This window comes from Homo sapiens, chromosome 6 (genome assembly GCF_000001405.40).
Source record: "Homo sapiens chromosome 6, GRCh38.p14 Primary Assembly".
In the NCBI taxonomy this organism is placed as follows: Eukaryota; Metazoa; Chordata; class Mammalia; order Primates; family Hominidae; genus Homo; species Homo sapiens.
In genome coordinates this window covers 127,808,794-127,829,401 of record NC_000006.12, presented here as the reverse complement: position 1 = coordinate 127,829,401, position 20,608 = coordinate 127,808,794, and the positions used below count along the sequence as shown (strand labels likewise).

The 20,608-nt window shown below is 35.7% G+C and overlaps 1 protein-coding gene across 12 annotated transcripts in view; it reads left to right on the top strand.

Moving 5' to 3' along the window:
- Nucleotides 1-20,608, top strand: part of THEMIS (thymocyte selection associated) — a 221,968-nt gene that overhangs the window by 89,194 nt on the left and 112,166 nt on the right. For all 12 annotated transcript variants that reach the window (XM_047418766.1, XM_047418764.1, NM_001318531.1 and 9 more), the window contains one exon: nucleotides 15,471-16,519. In XM_047418766.1, coding sequence (XP_047274722.1) covers nucleotides 15,471-16,519 — 1,049 coding nt within the window. The remainder of the gene's footprint in view (nucleotides 1-15,470; nucleotides 16,520-20,608) is intronic.

The window sequence follows — 20,608 nt, the reverse complement described above, 5'->3', positions numbered from 1 at the left end:
GAAGAATGGGAGTCTGTCTTTATTTCAACTATTGAGCCTGTGAGAGTTAGATTCCTCATCAATCAATAAGCAAACCATATATTTGCTCAAAAGATCATATTGAATAATGAATATACAAGTATGTTGTAAATTGTATGGTGCTATTCACATATGAGGTGCTATAACTATCAGGAACAGACAGATCAAACTACTAATTTATTTTTATTACTGCCAGTTAAATATGACTAGAAAAGAGCTACTTTTAAAAAATAGAACATATTTAGTTAGAATGAGGCTTTCTTGTATGGAGGTGGTCAACAAAAGAGGTAAATATGCAAAGTTTCCTTGATGCATCCCTTACTTCTATTTTTCTGACAGTCTTTTTCTTTTTCCAGCCATCCATTATTGGCTGTAAATCTCTACTAACCCAGAGCCCCTCTGTCTTAAGGGAAAATTATATGACAAATTAATTCACACATAGGCGTGGTGTTTTTGTTTGTTTGTTTTTTTGTTTTGAGACAGAGTCTTGCTCTGTTGCCAGGCTGGAGTGCAGTGATTCTCCTGCCTCAGCCTCCCAAGTAGCTGGGACTACAGGCACCCGCCACCATGTTCAGCTAATTTTTTTGTACTTTTAGTAGAGACAGGGTTTCACCATGTTGGCCAGGATGGTCTCGATCTCTTGACCTCGTGATCGGCCCACGTCACCTCCCAAAGTGCTGGGATTACAGGTGTGAGCCATCGCGCCCGGCCCGGCGTGTTTTAATATGCAATCTTCATAGAATTATTTGCATTTTGAAATACGAATATCTGGAGAGAGCATTGTTACTTCAAAGGTGTTAATACCTTGAATTTTCAGGATTATGACACGTGAGTAGGATGGATAGTAAAGAGTTCTGAACTTGGAGTCCTAGATTCTAACTCTGGGTCAATAACTTAATAGGTGTTGGTTTTCAGTGCACCATTTAAACTCCCTGTTTATGCAAAGAAAATGATGATACTCTTTTGCCTACCTTTTCAAGTAGTTTTGAGTTTTTAGTATTACAAAAAATTGAGGCAATGGCAAATTGTAGACCCCACATTAATGTCTGTTAGCGATCCCCAAATGTGCAGTTGAGATGAGTAATTGAGATTTCTTTGATTTTTATAAATAATAGATAGTATTTTCTCATTTTAAAATTTGTTATTTTCTACAACTATTGGCATCTCCTGCCTATCGCATAGTTACAAATGAGGGTAAACCCAGAACCTAAGCACATGGATAAAGTGGTTACAACATTTAATAAATTAGGAAGCAAGAAAAACTACTCCGAGGAAATGGCATTTAAATGGAAGGCTCAAAGGATGCATAGGAGGTAATCAGGCAAAGAAGAAAGGAACAAGGTTGGAGAAGGCAGGAGTGGTATTGGGGAAGCAGGTGAGGAAGGGATGGGAGCTCTAGTGTAGTTGGTGTGAGAAAAAAACGGAGAGGGCAGGTTGAAACAAATATGAACACATGCAATGGGGAGTGGAATCAATCATGGAGGGTCTTGAAGTATATACTAAGAGGCTAAAATGTGTCATAAGGGCAAATCAGTAAAGTGCTTTAAGCAGGGAGAGAAGAACAGAGGAGAGTAGTGAGGCCAGCTGAGTGCCAGGGTACAGGAAATTTATACAGTAGAGACATCAATGGGAAAGACAGAGAATCATAGTTGGGCTTGATGGGTATTTAAGAAGTACAGAGAGCAAAATGTGAAGATCTATTGGAAGGGGAAAAAAGCCAAACTTGTTCCCAGCCTCCTGGCTTGATCTACTGGATGGAAGTGCAGTCTATTGAATGTAATCATCATCAGATCAGGGGATATTAACATATTTGTTTAGGTAGGACTTAACTGTGAATTTATGTTAACCAAGACCGAGAAGAAAGCCCTTGGTTGAAATAATACCGTTTACAAAATGTTTTAGTCTAATTCCCATTCTTTAATGCTATTTAAATTAAATTCCCATTTTAATTATACTGGATCGTTAATTTCATAGGGATTATTTTAAACATAGTTCTTATTGTATAGCAATTTCAGGACAGATACTGCCTGAGACTGGATTGCATGTGTATTGACTGCAGAATATTCCTTGGAAATAGAGGAGGGGTGTCTTATCACAAATACCTAATTTAAAGTATTTGTATTGTTGTAGGCATTTTTGCCCTGCATATAAAATGTAGACCATGTTTTGAATCCATTGTGGTTGTTTTACATGATTCTTTCTTAAATTGAAGATTCAAAATTGCCTTGACGTCAAGAAAAAGAGTAGGTCTGAGCAGGGAATTGGAAGTTTTCTAGAAACCTTAGGGGAAAGAGCAAGATGAAAAATACTGAGAACTACAGGGAGCCATGTTTGCTGAAAAGAGAACATAACAAATAAATAGAGATAAGAGAGAATATAAGATATTCTACTCCTATTACTAGTTTTTAATTATTAATGTGAATATTTGGGCTTCAAAAAAAAAATAAAAATGTTTAAATGAAGTATTTGTTTCTGGAAACTTGGCCAAAATCTCTGTCATAGGTCTGAACCCCCCAACCCTCATCACACATTTAATGATTTAGAAAAAATTATCCCTCTTTGGAAAATAGATACACATAACAGTGCAAACTTCAAACTACTAGTCTTATGTAAGTCACATCATGATGTGTATTGTGCCTTTCTCAGGAAGACAAAATTCATATTAGCATAGTAAATGGAATACATAATATTTGCAAATGAAAAAATTGAGTGAGCTATTTATATTTGCCTCTGAAAGAGAGAGGTCTTGACCATTAAAACTTTTAAAATAGTGTCATGTTTTGACATATAGATTGATAATTATTTCTTCCCTGAGTGAAAATTTCAGAGTTGTATAACTCTCTTTCTTTTTTGAAAAAATCTCAATGCCTCTCAAATTTGGGAGGTATGGTTTTAGCCCAGATATGTAAAAAATTAATTCATTTTATAAGCAAAGGGCTGAAATCACACAAGTGAAAAGTAGTATCAGAACAGTTGTATCTGCATATTGTATAATCAGTGATACATGAATAGCAGAAAAATAACACTTTGGTCTTTAGAATACTGAGACTTCCTCTTTCTCTCATTTAATTTTTAAAAATAATTTTAATGTTTATCAAAGTCCAAAAAGTCAAATAGTGAAAAGAATTATAACAATGTTATCAGCAAACCTTTATGCCCTTGACACGAGGGCCAAATTTTCCTCATATTCTGCTCTTCTGAGGTAATGCCTTTAAATATTTTTCCCCTACTTTCTGGCACATATCTAAATAATAAAGGAATATTGCTCTTTTTCAAGTCATCAACTTTAAGATAGTAACTATTGACTTTCACATATGACAATGAAGACTTAATTCTCTTATATTCCTACTTCCCCTTCCCTATATTCTCAGTATATTATAAGTTATGGCTAAGCATTAATATTTTCATTATTGTGACAATTCACTGCTCAACCAAGTGGTGTATAACGAGTATAATTCCATTTCTCCATAACTGTTTTTCTGCGATGACGACCTTATCGTTTTCTTTGCTTGATTTTCTTCAATTTTATCCTAAGTCTTAGAGCATTCTTCAACTCTATAAAAAAAGGCCACTCAGTGTAATTTTTCAAAGAACCCAAACTATCAGGAAGGCTACCTTTTCTATTAATTTATTTTCCTGAATGTATTCCTTTGTAACTCTTCGTTCTCATGTTCCAATTGGAATTGCTTATTTTTGAGACCAACTGCATAGGTGCTGCCCTGGGAATTCCATTTAAAATAATCCTGGTGATTCCCTGTTGACTTGTGTCTGTGTTGACTAGCTATTTCTGAAATCAAATAACTCCCTCTATCTTGACTTTCTTCCAATTTTTATGCAGGCCAACCTTCCCTTGCTTCCTGAGAACGGTGCATGAATGTTTGAAAAATATTCTATACACATATAAGATTGATAGTTTGGCTACTTACAGAATTCCAGGTTGAGAATAAATTCCCCTCAGAATTTTGAAAACTTTACTCCCTTATCTTCCACCATCCTGTATCGTCTTGGAGAGATTATACGTGGTATTCTGAAGTTTCACAGTAATGTGACTTGGGGTGGGTCTGTTCTTTCTTAGTGATGACAGTTTTCAATCTGAATATTTAGGTGCTTCATATTTGGAACAATTTCTCTGATAATGTCCACTCAATTATATTTTCTCTTCTCTCTGTCTTTAATTTCAAATCTCATACTGAAATTCCCATACTGATCTTCTAGGGCCTTTTTTCTTTTCTATTTTATATCTTTTTGTCTTTTGTTTACCTCCAGGGAAAATTTTCATAACTACATTTCCAACTGTTTTAATGAATTTTTAATTTTCGTTATCATATTTTTAATTTCCAAGAGTTATTTCTTACATCATTTTACATATTTTACACTGTTCTTGTTTTTAAAATACATCTTATTTCTCTGAGAATATTTCAGTTAGTTTTGTTTGTTTGTTTGTTTGTTTGTTTGTTTTGAGACGGAGTCTCCCTCTGTCGCCCAGGCTGGAGTGCAGTGGCGCAATCTCCGCTCACTGCAAGCTCCGCCTCCTGGGTTCACGCCATTCTCCTGCCTCAGCCTGTCAAGTAGCTGGGACTACAGGCGCCTGCCACCCGGTGGCTCACGCCTGCAATCCCAGCACTTTGGGGGGCCGAGGCGGGCGGATCACGAGGTCAGGAGATCGAGACCATCCTGACTAACACGGTGAAACCCCGTCTCTCTCAAAAATATTTTAGATAGTTTTTTTAAGTTTTCAAGCGTTCACTGCAAAATATCTTCCTCTTTTGGGGTTCTTTTTTTTTTAAGTTTTGGTGTATCATTTCTTATTAAATGTTTTTATCAAATGCTTTGTGATTACTTGTAATATGTTCATATTTACAGGGGTCAGTTGAAACAAAAATGTACAAGTAAGGCACTGTTTCTATATAAGCTCTGTGTTTATGAATTTTAGATATTATCCTGCCAACTTTTTCACTGCAGCATTCCTCAAATTTAGGTTTTGTGAGTCTTTCCTTTTTGAGTTCAGTTTCACCTAAGAAGAATCTTTGTGGTATCTTCTGGGGATTATGAAACTATTGGAGCTACGTGGGGACAGAGCTAAAGATCTCACCACTCCCACTTACAGATTTATAATTAACTCCTTCACTTTCAGTTCCACGCTTCCCTCCTGCTCACCTATGTCTGGTTTCGGAGGTTCTGAGATCCTGTATATACTGTTTCCTGCAGAGGGAGAGGTGGAAGAAGTGGTCACCTATCTCCCCTAGATTAGAGTGGAGACCTGGGTTTAACCATTCTTCAGACATTTGAATAATCCCTGTGTTTTTAGCCTCCTGGCTTCACCTTGCTTTCCAGGGGTCTTATGTCTCCAAATTCTATCTTTGGAGGTCTTATGGGACAACAACAGTTCATTTTTCTTTGGATTTTGCCTCCTCAGGCACATAGGCACTCCTTTTTCTATTCTGTCAAGTAATTTATCATTCTTCCCTCTGATTTCTGTCTTCATTTAGATTAAGGATTGCAGATATCTTTTAGATTCATTGAACCTTTTTTAAAAAACTTTCTTTTTTGACTTCTTACCCCTGTGGTAAATTTGATGGGAGAAAGGATTGAAAAGGTATAATTTTAGCCCTAAACCTCACTACCTAATTAAATTAGTTCTAGCCCAGAGTTTTGCCTGGATCTATTATAATCTCTCAAAGGACTGGTTGCTACTCCTGCTAAATGATAATAAGTATAATTTATAAATTTAATATATTTAGTAAAACACAATTTTCATTAGTTTATAAAAATATCACATTAATTTCTTATGTATGTATTTGTATCTTCTCAGTGCTTGAGATAGAGTAAATGTTCCATAAGCATTCAATAAATCAAGTACATGAAAGAATGAATAAAGCAAGTAACACATTGTTTATGCGTGTATATTTATGTTTCACAGTACAAAGCTCCTCTTTAGGTAACAAGGGGGTTTTCTCACTCACTATATCCAGATTTGACTTATTATGATGACATATTTATGAGTTCAATAGCTAAGGAAAATATGAACTTCATGGTACCAAAGTTTATATCATTTATATTCATATAACAGGTTCAATTTTTGTTAGTGATGCTTTTCGCAATGTGTCCATGAAAATACTACGACAACATGACATTTAGAACCAGTAGATACTCTAGTCAGCTCCCATTTCATTTTGTTCCTTTAGGCTGCAGTCTTATTGCTAATAGAAATATCATGCAGCTAGCAGAGGAAGGTACCTATTTTGTATTATGTATATATTTATTTTTACATTACCAACTATTAATGCCTTGTTAGGATTTTCCAGAGAAAAAGAATATCTATGTGTGCTAAATATACCTAATTATACATTAATATATACAGTGTTTATTTGTATATAAAACAAATTGTATGTAAATAAAAATATTTGTTTATTTTAAGGAATTGGCTCATGCAAGTATGGGAGTTGAAAAGATCTAAATCTGTAGGACAGGCTGCACAGGCTCAAAACTCAGGCAAAAGTTAATGCTGCAGTTTTGAGGGAGAATTTCCTTTTCTCTGGGAATTCTCAGTTTTTGCTCTTAAGACCACCAACTGATTAGATGAGGCCCACCTAAATCATGGAAGGTAACATCCTTTACTGAAAGTCAACTGATTGTAGATGACAGCTACATGAACAAAATACCTTCACAGCATCACCTAGGTTAGTGTTTGAATAAATAACTAGGTAATATAGCCTAAGCAAGTTGATATGTAAAACTAACCATTACAAACATCAATGGGATACATGTTAAAAGTGTCTAAAAAAGTGTTTATTTGCTTTTCTTAGATTTTATGGACTAAATTAAAATGTAAAAGTCAAAGTAGTGTTACAAATAAACTCATATCAAATGCAAGTGTATTCATTTTAAATAACTCTCAGTTTCTCAGTGAGGATTATGATTATTTTTTCTAAGAGTTACAGAGCCGTTCAAAAGGCTCTCTTTGTTTAGAAATATGGACAGCAGATGAACCAGAGGAGAACCAGGTAAGAAAATAGAAATTCACAGTATAGCTTTCCTTAAGTTGAAATAAAGTTAAATAAATTTAAAAAAATAATTTGCAGAATATCCATAAAGAAAATTGAGATCAAATGAATGAACTGTAAAGCAAATTTTAATTTAAAAGTCTGGAACAAGGCAGAGCTCAGAAATTTTTAGTAAATCTAATAACTGCCCTATAATAAGGATTGTAATGCAATGCAAATATGTAACTAAACAATTCATTGAGTGGGTGAGAGATGAAGATGAAGTTCATACTTTTGAGAAAAACAACTGTAGTCTTAGAAAGTAAATGACAAAGATTAAACAGTAAAAATGTCTAACAAATATAGAGATTATTATTATTAAATAATAATGGAGGAACTAGAAGTTGGGAGAAATTGTAGCACTAGAATTTATAAAATTTCTTTGGAGAAAAATATGTAGAAACCATCATCTTGTCCTCAAGTCTTGAATAAGAGTGTCTCAGCAGATTTCCATCCCTGTACTAATTTAGGTCCAATTGCAAAGGATTGGTTCTCACTTAGTGAGTTGAGACCAAGAGTGTTCTAGAATTGAATATTAAATATCCAGGGAAACATATGTTGCCCATCACCAACCAAGCTTAAAGGTAACTCTTTATTTTCTCTTTAAAGACAATTTTAGTGGTGTCCCCTAAATTCAAACTTAGTTAAGAGGGTTGTTACAGTGGCAAATATAGAAAAGCACCACATTATGATTAGCATTCACCCTGTGAAGGGACTTTCCCTGAAAGAACTTAGTGAAACAACTCAGCAACATAAAGAAGTAACCTGTTACTCTTTCAGAAAAAATGGAATGGAAATTGTTTTTCACAGGAGCTCCCTTTGGATAACAAGAAAACATACCCAGCAAGGATAATTCATATTCACTCACAAAGAAATTCTGGGAAGTCTAAACTAAAGTTTGATAAGTACATAATGTTTTTACTTTGGTTTAGTTTGGAACAGAAAAACTTGTAATACAAACCTCCAGGAATGTTTCTCAGTCTCATGCTCTCAGGTGTTGCCTTCTTATCTAACATTTTAGAGTCAAAAAGAACTTTTTTGGAAAATGACATTTTCTAATTTAGCTTGTACTCTTTGGTCTTTTTTGGGGGAGGAAATTCCATTTTCCCAATTGTAAAATAACAAATGCTTGTTTAAAAAATTTATCTCTCTCTCTCTCTCTCTCTCACACACACAGACACACACACACATGATTAGAGCTATATATACCACAATATAAGCCGTTGTTGTCTAAAATTTTATAAATCTATAAAAGATTCTAATTGTTTTTCCTCTCTTATATTTTAAAATATTTCTATAAAAGCATGCAACTTTTTGTTTTATAAGAAAAACAACACTATAAGTGTTGGTGTCTTTATCTTTCTCTAGGAGAGATTCTTAGATATAATATTTGCCATAAAAATTAATGAAACCTATTTCAGTTTAAAAACTTGAGGATGTCATTGCCAAATTCTAGGTAACCTTAAGCAAATAATGAGTTTTTATTTTAACTTTTGACTGTGGAAAACTTAAAACATATAAAAAAATCAACAGAATAGTATAAAAAAAGCTTTCATTTTAATGTATTAGCAGACATGAGAGAGTAATATAAAAATTCAAAGTTCATGCAAAAATAATGAGGCAGATTGGGTTGCCAGTAAATTGGATGTCTATGGGCTTCATGGCACTTAGTATAGAAAGAAAGGTAGACTCCCTGATTTCAATCTCTTCTCCCATTGAGTTATCAGATAATCTGCCAAATTCCTAATTGTAATTTGGTCTTTCTTAATCTGAAATATTTTGGATTTCCTCCTGAAGTAGTTATACATTCCTCAGCCTGGCATTCAAAGTGTCAATTCATTTCCATAGTGCTTCTTTCAGTGAGTCTCCTGTCCAGTCCCTGTGCTCTCATTTAAAATCCTGAGATGCTGGATTTCTTTTTAATTACTGACTATTCTCAATTTCCCTTCTTATCATTGATCACGGTGTCCTTGCCATCTGGATTATACCCTCTCCTATTCTATCTTAGCCTGTAATTTCTTTTCATTCTTAAAGTCTCATGTTGTGGCCATGCCTTTCATAAAATGTCTTTATCCTCATCATCAAATTAAATATGCTATTTTTCCCCTTCTTTTTCTGCCTACTGTAATTTTAATTGAGGCTTTTATGTGATTCCACTTTCTCTTTTCTCTTAGCATATCAATTATACTGTAAAAAACATTTTTAGTTGTTACCCTAGAGTTTGTAATATATATTTACAACTAATATAGGTCACTTTCAAATAGCACAAATAACGTCATGAGTACTGCAGTTACCTTATAAGAAAATATTCCCCATTCCTCCCTCCTCTCTCTTAAAACAGTACTGTCATTCATTTCACTTATCTGTGTGCTATAATCATCCAAAATATTGCTACAATTATTAGTTTTAACAGACTGTTTTCTGTTAGATCAATTAAGAATACGAAAAATAAAACGTTTTATTCTGCCTTCATTTATTCTCCAGCACTCTTCCTTTCTGTGTGTACATCTGAGTTTCCTACCTTTAACATTTTTCTTTTCTCTGAAGAATTTTTTTAGAAATATTTCTTGCAAGGTAGGTGAACTGGTGACAAATTCCCTGAATTGTTACTCACATAAGTAAGTCTTTATTTCTCCTTTACTTTTGAAGGATGATTTCACTGGATGCAGAATTCTAGGTTGGTGGGTTTTTTCCAACTCTTTAAATTTGTCACTCCATTCTCTTCTTGCTTGCATGGTTTCCAAAGAAAAGTCCACTGTAAATGTTGTGTTTTTCCTCTATAGATAAGGTGTTTTTGCTCCTCTGGTTCAAGTTTTTGCTTTGTCTTTGATTTGAAGAAGCCTGAATATGATACTCTTCAATATAGATTTTTTTTGGTATTTATCCTGCTTAATGTTTTGAAGCTGCATTTATTTTGGAAAATTCTCAGTCTTGTTAATGCAAATGTTTCTTTTACCACTGTATTCTCCTTCTGGTATACCCAGGACATACATGTTACATCTTTTGCAGTTGTCTTACATTTCTTGGATATTATATTATGTTCTATTTTTTTCATTTCTTTTTCTTTTTTGGTTTGGTAAGTTTTTAATTGACATATCTTCAAGCTCATTGATTCTTTCCTCAGCAGTGCCCAGTGTAATGAGAAACCCACCAAAGACTTTATTTCTGTTTCTGTGTTTTTAATTTCTTTCTTTTTTTTTTTTTTTTTTTTTTTTTTTTTTTAGACAGAGTCTCACTCTTTCACCCAGGCTGGAGTGCAGTGGCATGATCTTGGGTCACTGCAACCTCCACCTCCCGGGTTCAGGCAATTCTCCTGTCTCAGCCTCCATAGTACCTGGGACTACGGGTGCATGCCACCATGCGCCTGGCTAATTTTTGTATTTTTATTAGAGATGGGGTTTCACCATGTTAGCCAGGATGGTCTCGATCTCCTGACCTTGTGATCTGCCTGCCTCAGCCTCCCAAAGTCCTGGGATTACAGGCGTGAGCCACCGCACCTGGTCCTGTGTTTTTAATTTCTATCATTGCCTTTCAGTTTTCCCCTAGAGTTTCCATCTCTTTGCTTACATCACCCATCTTTCCCTACATGTTGTCCCCTTTTTCCATTATACTCCTTAGCATTATTATTAAATTTTAAGTTCCTGGTCTAGTAATTCCCAAATATGTGCTATATCTGAATCTGGCTTTGATGCTTGATTTGTCTCTTCAGAGTGTGCTTTTTTGCCTTATAATATATGTTGTAGTTTTTTTTTTTTTTTGAAAGCCAGACATGATGTTTCAGGTAAAATAAACTGTGATAAATTGTCTTAACTTGATATATTACGTTTATCTATCTAGAAGTTAGGCTGTGTTTATAGTTTACTATAATGGTAGGTGTCAGAGGCTACATTTTCATGTAGTGCTTTCTTTTGTCTGCCCTGTTGACTTTAGTCTCTAGAGACTCCTTCTTAGGTATGGTCTTAAATGCCATTCTTTGAGTTGTAGTTTCCTGTTATTATACAGGAGCACTGTTGATGTGGTCGTATGTTATGGAGGGGGGATTTCTATAATTTATGATTAGGTTTCAGTTATTAGTGAGCCTGTGTCTCTAGGCTGTGACCTTCACAAGTGTTTCTCAGCTTTTTTGTCCCCTTTGGGAGAGATAGAATGGCTAGTGGAGGCTTGAGTTGGGTGTTCCCTTTCCTTTATGTAGAAGTACAGAGAAGGTTGGAGTTGGGTATTGCTTTTTCCCCACATAGAATATTAGAGGTGGCTTGGTTGGGTAATTCCCTTCCCCCATGATAGTTAGTCTCTGGTAAAGCACAAGTTGGTTAGGCTGTGCTAAAATAGTTTTCCTTGAGGACAGGCATTTTTTAAGGAGAACAGAATGCTCTGGGTATGTTTCAGAATAGTTGCTTCTTCTCTCACCCTGCCAGAAGCACAAGGAAATTTGTCTCATCTTCACCCTGAGAACCTGGATGGGCCCCTGAAAGTAAGACTCAGAAAAGTGTGGGAGGCCCTCCTAAACATACTCCCCAACCCTAGGAGTTTTATCTCTTAAACAATTCTACCTTTAGTCCCCAGTTACCCTTCTATTCTTCCAGGTGCTGCCTCCAGCAGTCGTTTTTGCCCCCAGTGAGCTATGACTGTTTGTATTTGCCTACCTGTCTAGTTTTTGGGGTGGTGGTTTGCCCTGTGACCTCAATTCTCTGGTGAATCTAAGAAGAGTTGTTGATTTTCACTGCATCTGCTATTTCCTTGTATTGAATCTTCTCTTTAGGCATCTATATCATGATTTTGCCTAATCTTTTTTATTAAAAAAACTTGGATGAAAATATTTTACTTTGCTCATATATTTATACCTTGATCTCTCTATTATGTTGAAGACATTAAATACAAGTATTTATTGCATTGAACAGGCCATTGTTTAAGTGAAACTGCAACCTTAAGAGAAGTGTCTTAAATAAAATATACAATAGCTGCTATGAATAGTAGCAGGAGTTTTAACATAGAAAACTTTTTTTTCCAGTGAAATTTTATATAGAATATATTTACTGAATTGCTTCCTTTAGTGGTCACTCATGGACTTTGTTCTGGCAATTATTTTTTATTCATTAATTCATTTATTGAGTATCTACTATACGCCAGGTGCCACTCTAGACATTCTAGACATTGATGAAGAAAACAATGAAAGCCTCCCACCTCTGGGAAGGCATATGTTTCAGTTTAGGGAAACAAAAATAGAAAATGTTCATAATATAAATTAACAAGTTATATGGAATGATAGAAGGTGAAGGGTGACATGAAATAGAGAAATAGAAAAGGGCAAATAGAAGAGAAGATTGCAATTTTAAATAGTGCATTTAGAGTAGGTCTCACTGCCGAGATGATATTTAAGCAGACTTGAAGAAGAAGAGGAGTTGGCTGTGAACATATCTGGCTGAAGTATGTAACAGGCAGAGGAAACAGGCTGTGCAAAGATCTGACTGACAATGAGGAGGTCCGGGAGACAGCGGGGAGTTAGAGTGAGACAAAGGAGTAGCAGATGAGACCCAGGTGGTGCCAGGGGCCAGGTAAGGACTTTGGCTTTTATACTAAGTGAAAGGACTGACACTGTAGGCTTATAAACAGAAGACAGACATAAATTATTTAGCATCTAAAAATAATATTTGCTTTCCCTATTGAGACTTGACTGCAAGGATACCGGTTAGAAAGCCACTGCAACAATCCAGGCAAAAGACAATGTAGCTTAGATCAGGATAGTCCTGATGTAAGATATTTCAGGTGTTAAAAAAGAGAAAAGCTAAGGATGTCTCTGAGATTTATGGACTGAACTGAAAGAAAAGAGTTTCCAATAGCTGAGTCTGGGAAGACAGCATATAGCTTAGGTTTTGGAGGAAGATTAGATTTCAGTTTAAGCATGTTAATTTTGAGACATCTATTAGATGTCCAAGTGGAGATCTGAAGTAGACATACTGCATTCAGGAAAATGTTTTGGCTGGAGCTATACTTTGGGTAGTCATCAGCATAAAGATGATATTTAAAGACATGAGACCACTTAAGATCAGTGTAGGCGTGGGTGTAGATAGAGGGAAAAAGAGAACCAAGACACCCTAAAAGGTGTGTGTGAGGGGTGGGTGGTGTATAGGGAGAAGAAATCAGCAAAACTGAGAAGAATCACAAGTGACATAAGGGGAAAGCAAGTGAGAAAAATGTATCAAAGAGGAGGGAGTCTAATCCACTTTGTCAAATGCTGCTGAGATCTTAAGTAAAATAAGATAGGCTAGCATCATTTCAGTGGATTTAGGCACAGAAGTATTGAAGATAGGTCAGTAATTGAATACAAAAAATTTAAGAGTTCGGATAACATGGCCTGTAGGGTTTCTCCAGCAGCAATAAAGTCCTCCAATGCATTAAAGCTATTCCCAGCCCACAGCACCCACCATGTACAAAGACAGATTGGGATCTAGCTTGTATTGAAACTGATGTTCTGGTGGATCAATTCTGAGTTCTCAGGAAGTCCTTGATGGCATCTATTCTACTAATCTCTAGCTCTTCCCTAGACTTGAGGAATAGCATGAGCCTATCTAGAGCTAGCTCTAGAATTCTTAAACCTAGCTCATTTTGATTCAAACAACCAGAATTTTAGTTTCTAAACTTACCTTGAGGTTCAGGGAAGCCAGTAGGTATAATGTTAAAAGTTAGTGCATGCTAAACTTTATAACATAACTTATTAATGTAAGAAGTGCTCTTTCAACCCTCCTTTTTTTTCTAAAAATTAAAAATCTTTACAATTTTGCAGATCTTTAGCCTATAGGCAACCACTGATTTTTTATTTTTTTTACAAGAAAATAATACTTTTTCCTTGCTGCATCTTCAGAAACTCTATAATTACACAGGACATATAAGTAATACATAAATCACACAGGTTTTTTGATGCTGCATAAACAGTTAATAATATTAAAAGTAATATATGTAATGTTTTATAAGAGGATATTCTGTCTTCTAAATATTCCAAATTGTTCATTTTCAAAAGCATGGAAGGAAGAAAAAAATGACGGAAGGGTGGCTGGAGATATTGAAAATCAATGCCATATCATGAAAATGCTATAAAATTTATGTTAGTAAATTATCAAGAAAATATAGACTATTATAATACCCTGTTAATATTAACACATAACTTTATTATTTTTTTTTATTTTTATGTTTTGAGACAGGGTCTCACTCTGTCACCCAAGCTGAAATGCAGTGGGTATGATCATGGTTCACTGCAACATTTGCTTCTCAGGCTCAAGCGATCTTCCCACCTCAGTCTCCTGAGTAGCTGGGACATGCCACCAGATTCAGCTAATTTTTTCTAATTTTTGTACAGAGACAAGGTCTCACTATATTGCCCAGGCTAGTCTCGAACTCCTGGGCTGAAGCAGTCCTCCCACCTTAGCCTCCCAAAATGCTGGGATTACAGGCATAAGACACAGTGCCTGGCCAATACATAAGTTTATTAATTCAGGACCATTTATAATGATAAGATGTTGGGTGGTATATGAGGAACAGGTAAATAAATGCAGGACAATATTTTAAGCATCTCTGTAGTCTCAAAGGAAGACTCGTGAGACAGTGGATGATTGGAAAAAATACAGATATCCATTAACCCCAGTGACGCATGAGGCAATGAATACATTGGTGAGTACTCACCAGCATACCTAGGGCTCTTGAATGGCTCCTCTGATTGTGACCCACTCTGCACCACTCCTTTGGTAGGCAGGTATAATATAACACCAGTGGAGAAAGAAAGAACTTTGACATTGGAAAAATATTGCATCTTGGTATTTATTTTCGCATATTAATCTCAAGTAGCTTGTATCTTAGGATTTTGCAATATTGTTTCAACTCACAGGATATGATTTGGTATAAAGGTTTGTTTTGGGTCAAAACTGTCTTCTATGATAATTTGATATATAAAGTCTGGCCCTCAAGAATATGACTTAAAATGACCTAATAATTTATAAACCTTCATATAAAATTTATGAACACATTTACATACATATTCACACACATATCTATATTCATGTATGTTATGGATGATAAAAGTATAAATATAAGCACAGGAATATTTAACATGAGAATCAGGACAGTGATCGTACGTCAGTAGAAGTGAGGATATGATTTTGAGGAGGTTCCCTAGAGCTCCAAGGTACTGGCTAATGTCCGCTTCTTAAACTGAGTATGGGCTTATGCGTGTTGGTTTTATATTCAATCTCTTTCATCTTAAAATTTGAAAAAAGGAAAATCACACATAAGAAATGATATATGATGATCATCTGAGTTCTTTATTTTGTAAAAGAAATTTATTTATGGCATCAGGAGAGTATCTCACAGCAAACGTTTTGAAGTACAAAAATATCATAGTGATTTATTTTTTCTTTTTAGTTCGAAAAGATATAATCCGCATCCTCCCCAGTCTAGATGTCGAAGTCAAAGACATCACTGATTCTTACGATGCTAACTGGTTTCTTCAGCTGTTATCAACAGAAGATCTTTTTGAAATGACTAGTAAAGAGTTCCCCATAGTGACTGAAGTCATAGAAGCACCTGAAGGAAACCACCTGCCCCAAAGCATTTTACAGCCTGGGAAAACCATTGTGATCCACAAAAAGTACCAGGCATCAAGAATCTTAGCTTCAGAAATTAGAAGCAATTTTCCTAAAAGACACTTCTTGATCCCCACTAGCTATAAAGGCAAGTTCAAGCGGCGACCGAGGGAGTTCCCAACGGCCTATGACCTAGAGATCGCTAAGAGTGAAAAGGAGCCTCTTCACGTGGTGGCCACCAAAGCGTTTCATTCCCCTCATGACAAGCTGTCATCCGTATCTGTTGGGGACCAGTTTCTGGTGCATCAGTCAGAGACGACTGAAGTCCTCTGTGAGGGAATAAAAAAAGTGGTGAATGTTCTGGCCTGTGAAAAAATCCTCAAAAAGTCCTATGAGGCTGCGCTGCTCCCTTTGTACATGGAAGGAGGTTTTGTAGAGGTGATTCATGATAAGAAACAGTACCCGATTTCTGAGCTCTGTAAACAGTTCCGTTTGCCCTTCAATGTGAAGGTGTCTGTCAGGGATCTTTCCATTGAAGAGGACGTGTTGGCTGCCACACCAGGACTGCAGTTGGAGGAGGACATTACAGACTCTTACCTACTCATAAGTGACTTTGCCAACCCCACGGAGTGCTGGGAAATTCCTGTGGGCCGCTTGAATATGACTGTTCAGTTAGTTAGTAATTTCTCTAGGGATGCAGAACCATTTCTAGTCAGGACTCTGGTAGAAGAGATCACTGAAGAGCAATATTACATGATGCGGAGATATGAAAGCTCAGCCTCACATCCCCCACCTCGCCCTCCGAAACACCCCTCAGTAGAGGAAACAAAGTTAACCCTGCTAACCTTAGCAGAAGAAAGGACGGTAGACCTGCCCAAGTCTCCCAAGGTAAGGCTATGGTTTTGCAATGTTTTCTCTGGAGTGTGTTCCTTCAGGCAATTTGTTTCAAGTCTTTTCTGAGTGTGTTTTGCTTACTTTTCTTTCTTTCATGCCATATTTGCAATGAGCTTTTCTGATGTGCAGTAGATGAATGAACATCAACAGTGTGTAAGCTGTTGCAGCGTTTTATATTTTGATGTGGCATGAAGTTTAATATTGAATTGGAAATAGCAGAGATGACATTTGGATATGATGACCCAAATTGCCTTTTCAGTGGGTTTTGGTAATTAAGAATATTTTATAAAGTGCCTTAGAAGCAAACCTCTTTTATTTTAGAAGTTCTGTTAATTTTTTTTTCTAAGTAAAATTTAATACCTCATCCAGGAAATTAACATACAGTAAACTCCCTTCTTCTGGGGATGGGGGGTTACTGGTAGCATGCATCTATAGCACATGTCTTCATTTTGTTTTATGTGCAGAAAGATGTAAAAATATCTTGGCAGAACAGTGTGTGAGAATGTGAGCATCTGCCCACATTCTGCTTATCTTAGAATCGTAATCTTTAACAGCTCTATTGAAAAACAAAATCAATAAAATTGGAGACAGTATGAAATCATTACAGAATCAACAACTCCATAACCACTCTAAAGATTTTGGAGGGTGATTCAGCTTCATTTCCACTTGAGGTCTTTGCCTCTTGAAAACTGCCTTCTGGCTGCCTGCAAAGCGCTTGCCCTTACACCATGATGTGTAGGTCGTTTATCCAGACGTGGTTCTGTGGTGTGTGGAAGGAGTGCATTCTGGTCTGGCAGATGTTGTACTTGCAGCTTGGGGAAACAAAGCAATTAGTAAAACAAAGAGAGGCTGTGTTTACTCTCTATGCTTAGAAATAATAGCAGCCTTAGGCTTCAAGTATATGGATATGGAAATACTTTTATTTCTACATCTCAGATATTGCATTCTGATTGTAGCTAGGGAAATCCAGTAAGGATCTCCAAAAGCATCTTTAGAAAAAGATAAAACCAGCAGAAATTTTCTTCCCAGACAAACAGTTTTGAAAGAGTCATTTGATATAATACAATGATTTCCAAATAATGTTGATTAACGTGTTGCTATTGTTTTGAAGGGTATCTTTGGCTTCTCCCATTTAACATATTTTTATTACTGAACTGAATAGTGAGAAATGAAATGAGAAATGAAATGTCTTCTTTGTGTTTTAGTGGTAGGCAGAATAATTTCCCCCTCACTCAAATATTTATATGCCTAAATTCCCAGAACCTATGAATATGTTACTTTGCATGGCAAAAGAGACTTTGCACATGTGCTTAAAATTAAGGACATCAAGATGAGATTATCTTGGATTATCCAGGTGGGTCCAATTTAATCACAAGAGTCCTTACAAGAACCTTTCCAGATAAGATCAGGGTTAGAGGGACATGTAACTATGTAAGAATGGTCAGAGATCCAACATTGCTGCATTTGAAGATGGAGGAAAGGAATCATGAACTAAGCAACACAAATGGCCTCTAGAAGCCAGAGAAGACAAGGAATCAGATTCTTTCCCAGAGTCTCCAGGAAGGAGTGCAGCTGACAACACTGGTTTTAGCTAGTGGGACCCACGTCAGCTACTAACCTATAGGACTGTAAAATAATAAATTTGTATTATTTAAGCCACTAAGTTGATAATAATTTATTATAGTAACAATAGAAAGATAATATAAGACATCAAGTTGAGAAGGAGGAATACTTAAAAACCATAGACAGTCAAATCTATATGCAAGTCACTACCTGTTTTGCTGGAAACTTTTTGTTGTTGTTGTTGTTGGTTTTTTTTGTTGTTGTTTGTTTGTTTTTGCTTTAAATGAATTTATTAGCACATGTACCCATAGAGCACTTAAGGGTACAGCTAAGCTTCAGGAATAATTGGAACCAGGATCTTGAAAACAGCCTAAGTTGTTTTTACTTTTCATTACATATTGGCTTTCTTTTCCCAGGCAAACTTTCTCAGTTTTTTTTTTTTCCAGCCTACTGCTAAGAGTTCCTGCATCTCACGTCTCATTTTTTCATCCCTAGAGAAGAAGATAATCTCTTTGGCTCAAAATTTAAAAATGAAAGGGCCTTGATTGGATTAATGCCCATCTCCTGACTCAACTAATTTATTGCTTACTCCAACTAGAGGCACGATTGGAGGGTATCTGTTTGCGCTATTATAACATAATACCACAGACTCAGTAATTCATAAAGAACAGAAATTTATTGTTTTAGAGCTCTGGAGGCTGGAAAGTCCAAGATCAAAATGCCAGCAGGCTCCATCTCTGGTTCTGAGATGGCCTCTTATTGTTCCATTTACTGGAGAGAAGGAATGTTGTGTTGTCACAAAGCAGAAGTGGGGGAACTCTTTCCCCAAGCCCTTTTCTTAGCAGCATTAATCCATTAATGAGGGCTCTGCCCACATAATAAAAACACATCTCATTAGGACCCACCTTCCAACAATGTTGTGTTGGTGATTAAGTTTCCAGCATATGAATTTTGGAGGGAATAAAATATTTAAACCATAGCAGTTGGGAGGAGAATGAGGTGTGGTTGCCTCTAGTATCTAGCAATACAGAATTGCAGGATGTGAAGATATGGAGATACAAATAATAGATGTCCACTACCATCAGAAAGAAAGCACTCATAGGGAAAAAAAAAGGTTAAAATTTTTAAAAATTGTCCTTTGCCAGGCATTAAATGAAAATGATCTAAGTGTTTTATTAGGAGAGAAACTCACAGAACAACATTACGCCTAGACTACTAAACTGAAGTGAATGAAATCTTTGACTAAACCTGTACATGTAGGATTCCAGATACTTAATAATTCCTAGCTGTTTTTTTACTGGTCAGACCCCACATGGAGTCTTGGTGTTCAATTCTGAGTCTCACTCTAGAGACTTTTAACTGGAGTTTGTAAGGAGCTGTTAAAGATGTTAAGAGGTTCTGGAGCCATTTTCATTTGAGGAATAGTTGAAGACATTGAGTGATAATCTAAAATTGGAAGACTTGATACTAGATGATATTAGTTATTTTATACATTTAAATAGTTGCTTTGTGGCAGAGTGCAGACTTATATTCCATTATGACATCTTCAACACTGGGTGAAAGTTAAAGGGAGGACAAATTTGGTGTAATATGTTGGAACAGGTTTCTTCTCCCCAAAATGTTTATAGTAGAAGATAGGAAATCATGTCAGTGATATTGTCAGGGAATCCCTGCTTTGGTTGAGAATTTATCAGACAGTTGAGAAGAGTCTACAGTTCTTTGTTTATGAATAGTTCCTTTAATTCTAGTGTGATAGATAAAGCATTATATTTTCTCTGAAATCACTTTAAAATGTCAGAGGATGCTACAATTCACCTGTATTTAGACCTACTAACCTCCTTATTTTCAGCGATTATTTTTTACCATGAAGGCAGGAATCTGCTTAATACATTGTTTATAGAATGTAAACAGAAGCTCTTTCAGTTTCTTCATAATCTACTCCAAAAATTTTGCAAATATTTCTTATTCTCACAAAGTCATCCTTTCATATATTCCTTTTATGTTTCTTTTGATATTTACATGAAGTCTCTTCTATCATGTGTGCTTTTGAAGAACATTTTTTATACTTCATAGGTAGGAATCAGCCATTAAAAAACAGCCTCTAAGATTATGGATTATATATGGAATATTGCTTTAAATTTGGATAACAAATAGTAAGAGTTATTCAGAGTTTAAATATTCAAACTCATTTAGCTCATTAAAATGTGGTTTTACATGCACAGAGAAGAGTCCTAGATGCTTCATTATATGAATTTACTTTTGCCTTCCCAATGGATCATTAACTTTACTAAATCATTTCTTGCATTAAGTAACAGACAGATGTATGGGCAATCTAAGAGTAAGAATCTAAAATTCACCCTGCATTAGCCAAATTAACCTATAGCAGGTATCTGCGGTTGGTTATGAACACTACAAGCTCATCTAAAATGTTTGGAAATTAAGAATATATGAGGACAGGTTACAGGAACTAGGAGAAATAGAAAGAATTGTTTTCCAAGGTAAGATTGGCAACTGTTCTCC